The sequence below is a fragment of the Homo sapiens genome, chromosome 4, assembly GCF_000001405.40.
Source record: "Homo sapiens chromosome 4, GRCh38.p14 Primary Assembly".
NCBI classification, from domain to species: domain Eukaryota; kingdom Metazoa; phylum Chordata; class Mammalia; order Primates; family Hominidae; genus Homo; species Homo sapiens.
The window spans coordinates 156097904-156108140 of NC_000004.12; the positions used below are offsets into that span (position 1 = coordinate 156097904).

The 10237-nt window shown below is 38.3% G+C and overlaps 1 annotated feature.

Moving 5' to 3' along the window:
• Positions 8498 to 8999: an enhancer, noted in NCBI's record as "H3K27ac hESC enhancer chr4:157027553-157028054 (GRCh37/hg19 assembly coordinates)". NCBI's record gives its function as "activates a minimal SCP1, AML or CMV promoter by ChIP-STARR-seq in naive H9 embryonic stem cells {active_cell/tissue: H9 hESC(naive)}" and the evidence as "EXISTENCE:reporter gene assay evidence [ECO:0000049][PMID:30033119]".

Consider the following 10237-nt stretch of genomic DNA (forward strand, 5'->3'; position numbering starts at 1 on the left):
TTTCTTAATATGAAAATTAAGTTATCTATATTTATTACTACAAATCATATTTAGTCTGACTTTTAAATTATTTTCTTTTCTCCTTATGGTTATTAATTTTGCTTTGTAGTCTATTTCGTTGCTCTGTGTTTTTTGTGTGTATGTGTTTTCTTTTATCTTGAAATGTTTTGATTCTTTTTTGAAAGGTTTTGATTCTTTTTATTATTGTTCTTAATAATTATACCTTTCCTCATATTATCAAGTTTTTAAAGATAATCTCTACCAGTTCCCAACTATGAACAATATTAAAATAGCATATTTCCTTTTCATCCTTTCTCTTCCTCTCTCTATTACCACCCAATTGTGGTAAATAATACCACCTCTCAGTGTTTTTGTTCTATTCCACTGCTGTGTTCGTTTTGGGGCTTAAATTACATTAATGTTGGGTTTCTTTTGCCTGTCTTTTACATATTTGATTCTCTTTCTAAAGATTCTCTTTTCCATTTCTTCTTGTTATTCTTATTTCTAGACTCAATGCCCTTTAGTGTGATTTTTTTTTTTACAAAATGTATTCTGCTTTGTGTTCTTGTAGTATCAACTTTCTTCTTGTTAGAATTTTTTCAATATTTTTTTCTTGAGACCACCTGCTCACATTTCATCTCCTCCTGTTATCTTGACATAAATTTCTGAAGTTCCTGTGTTTCTGATCAGTGATTTTCTTTAATAAAGGTGATTAATTCATTAAGATGTTTTAATACATAGCAAAATATTTGGCTGTAGTATTTTAACTCTTCCGTGGCAATATTTTTTCAGTAAGTGTTCATCAATTGCTAATTTTTCTGCTTCTTCCAGTTTTTCCCCCTTTGGTATATTTTTTGAATGGTACATGAGATGATACTTTTAAATTCATCAATAGATGCATTTCTATTGATGCACCAGGACCAGCCACCAGGAAGGGAATCCCATGGCAAGTGTGGGGCCGGTGTAGCCATCCAAGCTTCACAGTCTAAAGGTGGACTTTCAACTGCTGTCAGCTTCCTAGGGAAGTGGCTCTTGGTATCTCTCCATACAGCCTAATTTGCCTTTTTGAATAAAAGCTGTGTCTCGAAGACTTCATCCAGTCCTTCTGACCCAGTTGTTCCTCCCCTCATTGTTGCAAAGAATAGCTATGACTCAGTCCTGTAGGACAAACCATTCGCTTGCAAGAAATGAATATTTTCCTTGCACGTACTGAGATCTGCTAACTTGAGCTACTGTCCACATTATTTTTTCTTTGTTTTTTCCAGTCCCTTCTGTTCCATCTTACCTGTTTTTACAAACTTTCCCATATATGTTTAAGTTTGAAAATTGTTACTTCTCTTAGTTTTGCTGAGTTTGTGGCTTCAAAATACATATTTCTCTCTATTTTTAAACAAATTCTAGGAGAAGAAGTAAAAAGAGACATGTTGTATATGAAGCCTTCTTATATTGACTTTAAACACAGTTCTTCTGGTTAGAATTCCTGTAAGATTTGTATTTTAATTTTATTAAAATCATCCTCACATTTTCTTAAAATTAAAAAATATAATTTTTTGTTTACCATGGGATTCTGTTTTGAGAAGAAGAAAATTACTTGTTTTGAATAAAACTTCATATGTGCTCCTGGCTCTTACCATTTCTAAATATGTGCTGACAGAAATGTGTCATATCAAGGTAAACATTTATGAGAATATAAAATTACTTGCCCTGGGCCACAAAATAATGATCTGAATTTAGTAGCTGTCAACATTACCAATACAAGATTAGAATAAGCTCTCTGACAACCTGATGCATGCCTTCTTGGGAATATGGGTATTAATTAGCTTCAAATTCCATCTCAACTTCATCTGAAGGACCAATGTCTATTCTCTAATTTTCATGCTTGGAAAAGGCAAATTTCAAATTATTACATATAATATTGAAGAGAATATATACTTTCTTAACTGGAAGAATGATTTTTCATAGACTTTATTGTAACAAAGTTCCCTAATTCTTAATCATTAGCAGATTATAGGTCCCTATTATTATATTTTGACACATTTAGGTTTCTGAATTAATAATCCTGATTTCTTCCACACCAGCAAACTTCAAAGAATGCCCTCTACTTAGGCCTCAAAAACAAACAAAAAACTAGGGAAGGAGAATTAATAGTTATCAACTGTGCTGGTACCTGAGCAGGTGCTTCACATGTATTAGTTCATTGAATTAACCCAAAGACTCTGCCACATCTGCGTGATTCCTGTCATTCTGTACATGAGGAAACGTGGGCAGTAAGAAATCGGGTAAAGATTCCAGAATATTAATACCAGAAAATAAAGAGCAGTGTCTCACTCAGGCTTTTCTGCTCCAAAATCTGTTCACTTACTAACACACCAGATGGATCTCAAACAGGTTTCAGTGTTTTATGTAGGAGGAGATGAGACTTATTTTTAAATTATTTCAATTTCTCTAGGGTGAATCAATATTTATTCCAAACATTAATTACACCCTTGCCTCTTTTATTTACAATAAACTTTTCTTCTTTTTAGAGAATTAAGTGAGAGAATGAAATCCCAACACACACACACATATATATATACACACACATATATATTTGTGTGTGTGCTTGCACGTGTGTGTGTGTGTGTGTGTGTGTGTGTGTATATATATATATATATATATATGCATGCCTCAGAGTACTGAAAAATTAGGCATTGTTCCCTGTTGGCTTTAAGGTTTGTTTTTTTTTTCAATTGGTCTAAAAATAATCATAGAAAAGAGCAGTGTGCTATATTACCTACATTTTCTCTATTTGTCTTTCTTTTTTGCAAAGTGATTATCAAGTTTGCCATGAGAAAATTCCAGATCCTCCTGTATTATGGACTTGAGGAAAATGTGAAAACAGTAAGTTGATTATACTTATTAATGAGATAGCATTTCTCAAGTAACTTGTTATTTTTGGAAATCCACCAGTAAGAATGTCTAGAGACTGGGATATTAGTATTCACTAATACTAACTGTGCCACAGCTGTGGCTGGATGAGTAATCAAACAATCTGTATTTGAAATGTTCCCAACACAAAGAAATGATAAATGTTTGAGGTCATAAATATCCAAATTACCCTGATTTGATCACTACACATTGTATGCTTGTATCAAAATATCACATGTACCCCATAAATATGTACAACTATTATATACTCATAAAAATTAAAAATAAAAAAGCATTCTGCCCAGATCTCTCAACATTATGTTATTTCTTTAAAAATTTACTAACAGAATGAGAAGTGAAGAAAAGTAAACTCAAGTCTCACTGAAATAAGTCACCTGTGCTCTGTCTAGTGAACGTCTGTGTCCTCCGCATCCTCACTGTTCTCTGACCCCTGTCCTTGCTCTGCATTAAAAGGACAAGGAAAATGTCAAAGAGTGTTCAGCAGAAATTTTTGTGTGTTTGCCCAAAGGTGGTAAATGTGAGAGCAGCTCTAGGTTCCTGAGTCCTGTAGGCAGATATCCTTGGATTGAGAAAATTAAGAAATGGTGCTCTAAGTTGGAACATTTAGACATAATTAATTAGTTCTACTGCAGTCTGAGATCATCTTAGAAATATGCTTTGGTACTCATTTTGAATTCAAGAACTCTCAAATTTCTTGTTTTCAGTAGTAAAAAAATTACACCGTGATACAAAAGTTTACATATTCTAAAAGGACAATATGGTAGCCACTGAATATTATCTCTAAGACACAAATCATCAGCTGCAAAAGCATAGACTTAATGACTTAAAACCATCTTGATTGAGGCTTGAAAAGCCACTTAAAATATTATGCAGCTTAAACACCATCAAAACCATTTATGTCTACAGCTGTACTACAATTATGTTTAAGGCATTCCTTGTAACGGAGACAGCAACTCATCAGCAGAGGAGAATGTTCAGAGAAACTATCTAAATGTGCCAGCAAAAACATCTGTTCAACTCACAAATTTATGTGAGATAATTCAGCTGTATGGAATTAAAGTAAGTTTTCATTACTATACCCTATCAAACTGTAAAATGGATTATATCATGACATATAGATATGTCTTATTGAAGTAAGCATGGAGACTTGTTTTTTAATTCAAAATTATATTTAAATATATCATTTCAGTCTTTCAATAATTAGAAGACAGTTTATAAACATCTTAGTGGGTTTACCTTTAAACTGAACACTGTTTTAGTTTAATAATAGGTTTTTGCACAGTAAAAGATAGGATACCTTAGAAGTGTTGGCTAAAAAAAGATTTCTGACCAAGTATGCACTCAGTCCTCTGTACTCTCTGTTTTAGACAAAAGAAAGATGAATGCACTGCAATACCATGTTTGTATTTTTTTCTACTATAGACAAACAAATTAAGGGTTAAGCTCATTTCATTCTCGGTGGTTAAAGATATATTTGGCAAGAGATATCTCTGTTGTACAATGAAACTAAAACAAATGAATATTTTAAGACTTATAAGAAATTATCCATTTAAAACATTTTTTTTCTCCAGTAGAAAATAGTAGAGCCTTCCAATGGGTAAGTCATGTTATCTCTATCCTTGATCTGGACTAAGGAAATAATTTGGTCTTCAATCTAGATGGTTGACATTCTAATTTAGGCACTTGAAACAATTATGATGGTCCATTTCCTTTTAATACTGTTGGTTTCCTGCTGTCAAGTAACAATTATTCAATTATTCATTTTCCATGTTTATCTTATAAAATCATCTTACCATTTATCAAATCCCTTTTTTTCTTTTTAAATAATGGAGACAACTTAGGAATTTAGAGAATCACAAAAGACCACATTCCTGGTGAAAACCACTGGAATACTGTCTCCAAGAGTGTTGCATTTTGGCTCATTGTATTTTTCATTCAGTGAAAGAACTATTTTTTTAAAAGGAGGACTTTGTGATGGTTCTGAAGTGAAGCCCATGCAGTTTACCAAAAGTGATAGGTAGCAAAATCATGAGTTAGGGTAAAACAAAATTCAAAAAACATTTACCCTAAAATGAGGCCTTGAAGGGGCAGGCATAATGTGAAATATGAATTTTATTCAGCAGCCATGGGTCATAGATCATAACTTTGTACTAAGGTGAATCTAATATCATTTTTATGAAATTATTGTACATATATTTAGAACATCCTGATAGAAGTATTAAAAAAAACATAAAAGAAATCAAAGGTGACTCCAGAGTTGTGACTTTTGAAAATTAGTCCTGCCTCAAATGCAGAAGGAAAGTCCGGATTTGTACCCTAAATATGCTGGGTATCCCTCTGAGAAACCCATGACTATGTCTAACCCAGACTTTTCCCTGGAAACTGATGAGGAGACACAAAAGCAAAGTGGATGTACATTGCACACTGAATGGTGCTGGGGCCAGAGTGGCATTATAGAACCAGAAATGTTGATGAAAAAGAGTGGCTGTCAGAAGAAAGAAACAAGAATGAAGTGATGAGATTAAAAAAAAAGATCAAGAGATGAGAGAGAGAAAGCCAGAGAGAAAGAGAGAATGAGAATGGAGGGTGGAGAGAGAGAGAGAGAGAGAATGTAAATGAGCAGTCCTATGATTTCTGACAATATTCTGTGTCTTGGTTTCAGTCCAACTATTGCTCTTGTCCTTGAATTCCATGAGATAGTAATAAATTCTCTAAGAAGATTCCTTTTCTTGCACAAGTTGTAGGGACTTTGTAGACATAGAATTTCTAAATAAGACACTATGATTTACTTATGTTTATGCTAACTTTCGCATTTTCTGTAATAGACAATTATATTATTCTGTATATTTTGATAGTGGCTTAGTTAACATTCATGCAGCACAGCTTACACTTAAGAACCAGGAGTTTGAACTATGCCTTAAGACACCAAGAATCATGATGTAATAATCCTTTGTATATATTGTCAAGGGTTTTATACTGAAGACTTTTTTTTAGAGTGTTTGCTTGCTTATTTCTTGTTCTATTTTAAAAGAATTTGAATAGAGTTGGATTACCAGGTATATCTAAATTAAGCCAGCATTCAATCAGCTATTACTGTCTTCTTATATTAATAAGAAAAATAAAACGATATAGTGGTAAAGGGTTGGGACAGCGAAAATTTTTGGGGGTGATATGGAGAGATAATGGGTGATGTTTCTCAGGGCTGCTTCGAGCGGGATTAGGGGCAGCGTGGGAACCTAAAGTGGGAGCGATTAAGCTGAAGGAAGATTTTGTGGTAAGGGTTGATATTGTGGGGTTGTTAGAAGAAACATTTGTCATTTAGAATTATTGGTGATGGCCTGGATACAGTTTTGTATGAATTGAAAAACCAAACGGAATAAGAGAAGGAGAAAAACAGATATTAAAGGACTAAGAATTGGGAGGACCTAGGACATCTAATTAGAGAATGCCTAAGGAGGTTCAGCATAGCCTTGCCAGCAATGATTATTTATTTACTTTAAGAGTTAAGAGTGGCGGTTTGGGGATAGTACCAGGAGATATCAGCTGTGATGGCTTGGAGAAACAGTGTAAACTGGCAGTGTAAACAAAAGCAGGGCATGTATGAGTAGTTGAGAATGGTGAATAGGAGTATGACTAGACAGAAGATAGTAGGGATGACAAGTTTTTTGGGGCACAGTCTAAGTTGGTCTGGTGTCTGGAATGAGACTAGGGCCTAATAAAAAGGAGTGTCTATACAGGAGCTTAAATGGGCTGTATCTTGTAGCATTCCGAGGACAGGCCTGAATTCTGATAAGCGAAAGTGGTAAAAGTATTGTCCAGTCCTTTTTAAGTTGGTGGCTGAGCTTGGTGAGGTGTGTTTTTAATAGAATATTAGTCTGTCACTGAATACTAAGAGCCTGAAAAAATGCTTGGCTGATTTGACTAATAAAGGCTGGTCTGTTATCAGACTGTATATTGGTGGGAAGGCTAAACTGAGGAATTAAGTCTGGCAGAAGGGAATGACAAGGCTAAACTGGAGAGTTATGTCTGACAGAAGGGAAGAAATGACTGCAGTGGCCTTCTCAGACCCTGTAGGAAAGGACTCTACTTATCCAGTGAAAGTGTCTACCTAGACTAAGAGGTATTTTAGTTATCTTACTCCGGGTATGTTGAGTAAAGCTAATTTGCCAGTCCTGTGTGGGGGCAAATCCTTGAGCTTGATGTGTAGGGAAGGGAGGGGGCCTGAATAATCCCTGAGGAGTAGTAGAATAGCAGATGGAACACTGAGAAGTGATTTCTTTGAGGATAGATTTCCATGATGGAAAGGAAATGAGAGGTTCTAAGAGGCGGGCTAGTGGCTTGTACTATAGCATAGCCTGCCTTTGCTGGTGTGTGGCGATTAGGCCTGGTGGAACCGCCATCAATAAACTAAGTGTGATCAGGGTGAGAAACAGGGAAGAAGGAAATGTGGGGAAATGGGATGAACGTCAGGTGGATCAGAGAGATGCAGTCATGAGGGTCAGGTGTGGTATCTGGAATAATGTGGGAGGCCGGACTGAAGTCCGGGGCAGGAACAATGGTAATTGTGGACACTTAACAAAGAGTGAGTACAGCTGAAGGAGCCGGGGAGCAGACAGTATATGCATCAGGTGTGAGTAAGAAAATAGATTTTGGAATTTATGAGAGCTGTAGAGAGTGAGTTGAGCATAGTTTGTGATTTTTAGGGCCTCTAAAAGTATTAAAGCAGTGGCAGCCGCTGCGGGCAGACATGAGGGCTAGGCTAAAACAGTAAGGTCAAGTTGTTTGGACAGAAAGGCTACAGGGTGTGGTCCTGGCTCTTGTGTAAGAATTCTGACAACACTAACCATGCCTAGGAAGGAAAGGAGTTGTTGTTTTGTAAGTGATTGAGGTTTGGGAGATTAACTGGACATGATCAGCAGGGACAGCACGTGTGTTTTTATGAGGTATGCCAAGATAGGTAACAGATGAAGATGAAATTTGGGCTTAACTGAAGTAATGGGAGCTATCTGTGAAGACTTGCGACAGTACAGCCCAGGTAATTTGCTGAGCCTAATGGGTGTCAGGGTCAGTCTAAGTGAAAGCAAAGAGAGGCTGGGACGAGGAGTGCAGGGGAATAGTGAAAAAAGCATCTTTAAGAACGAGAACAGAATAGTAAGTTGTGAAAGAAGGTATTGAGGACAAAAGAGTGTACGGGTTGGGCACCACAGGGTGGATAGGCAAAACAATTTGGTTGATAAAGTGCAGATCCTAAACTAATCTGTAAGACTTGTCCGGTTTTTGGACAGGTAAAATGGGGGAATTGTAAGGAGAGTTTGTAGGTTTTAGAAGCCCATGCTGTAGCAGGCGAGTGATAACAGGCATTAATCTTTTTAAAGCATGCTGTGGGATAGGATATTGGCATTGAGTGGGGTAAGGGTGATTAGGTTTTAATGGGATGGTAATGGGCTGTGATCGGTTGCCAGGGAAGGAGTAGAGATGTCCTATACTTGTGGGTTAAGGTTGGGGGATACGAGAGGAAGACACGAAGGAGGCTTTGGGTTGGGGAGAAGGGTGGCAATGAGATGCGGCTGTAGTCCAGGAATAGTCAGGGAAGCAGATAATTTTGTTAAAATATCTCAGCCTAATAAGGGAACTGGGCAGGTAGGGATAACTAAAAAAGAGTGCATAAGAGTGTTGTCCAAGTTGGCACCAGAGTGGGGGAGTTTTCAGGGGTTTAGAAGCCTGGCAGTCAATACCCACAACAGTTATGGAGGCAAGGGAAACAGGCCCTTGAAAAGAAGGTAATGTGGAGTGGGTAGCCTCCGTATTGACTAAGGGGACGGACTTACCTTCCACTGTGAGAGTTACCTGAAGCTCGGTGTCCGTGATGGTCTACGGAGCTTCCGAGGTGATCGGGCAGCGTCAGTCTTCAGCTGCTAAGCAGAGAAGGAGTCAGTCAGAGAGCCTTGGGCCAGAGTTCCAGGGGCTCTGGGAGTGGCTGCCAGGTGAGTTGAACAGTCTGATTTCCAGTGGGGTCCCGCACAGATGGGACACGGCTTAGGAGGAATCCTGGGCTGCAGGCATTCCTTGGCCTGGTGGTCAGATTTCTGGCACTTGTAGCAAGCTCCTGCAGGAGGAGGTTCTGGAGGAACACCTGGCCACTGCGGTTCAGGCGTTTGGAAGTTCTTGTGTGCTGGAGAAGTGGCTGGGGTTTGTCTCACAGTGGAGGCAAGGAATTGCAACTTTTTTCTATTATTGTACACCTTGAAGGAGAGGTTAATTAAATCCTGTTGTGGGGTTTGAGGGCCGGAATTTAATTTTTGGAGTTTTATTTAATGTCGGGAGCAGATTGGGTAATAAAATGTATTTTGAGAATAAGACGGCCTTTTGACCTTTTAGGGTCTAGGGCTGTAAAGTGTCTCAGGGTTGCTGCCAAACAAGTCATGAACTGGGCTGGATTTTTATATTTGATGAAAAAGAGCCTAAACGCTATCTGATTTGGGATAAAGAAAAAGGAGCATTAACCTTGACTATGCCTTTAGCTCCAGCCACCTTTTTAAGAGTAAATTGCTGGGCAGGTGGGGGAGGGCTAGTCACGGAATGAAACTGTAAGCCAGACCCGGTGTGAGGAGGGGAGGTAATAAAAGGATTATAGGGTGGAGGAGCAGAGGCTGAGGAAGAATTGGGAACTAGCTCGGCCTGGCGAGGAGCAGCCTGGGAGGAGGGGAGAGGTCAGATGGGTCTGTAGAAAAGGAAGATTAGAAAGACTCAGCGACACTTGGGGTTGGGACTGAGGGGACAGGCGGGAGGGAAAGAAGGAAGATTTGGGACGAGTTGCACTGGGCACAGAGACTAGGGAGGGACCGATATGTAAAAGAATGCCTGGACGTCAGGCACCTCAGACTGTTTGCCCATTTTATGACAAGAATTATTTAGATCTTGCAGGATGGAAAAATTGAAAGTGCCGTTTTCTGGCTATTTGGAACTACTGTCGAGTTTGTATTGGGGTCAAGTGGCATTGCAGAAGAAAATAAGGCACTTAGGTTTTAGGTCAGGTGTGAATTGAAGAGGTTTTAAGTTTTTGAGAACACAGGCCAAAGGAGAAGAAGGAGGAATGGAGGGTGGAAGTTTGCCTATAGTGAAGGAAGCAAGCCCAGAGAAAAGAGAGAGTAGAGACATGGAGGGAAGGGGTTCGGGGGTTCTTACCTTCTAGAAAAGCGGGAAAGGGGTTGGGGCATGGATATAAGGGATTGGGGCGCAGAGATAAGAGGTCGGGACGTGGAAACAAGGGATGGGGCGCAGAGATAAGAGGTCGGGGCATGGAAATAAG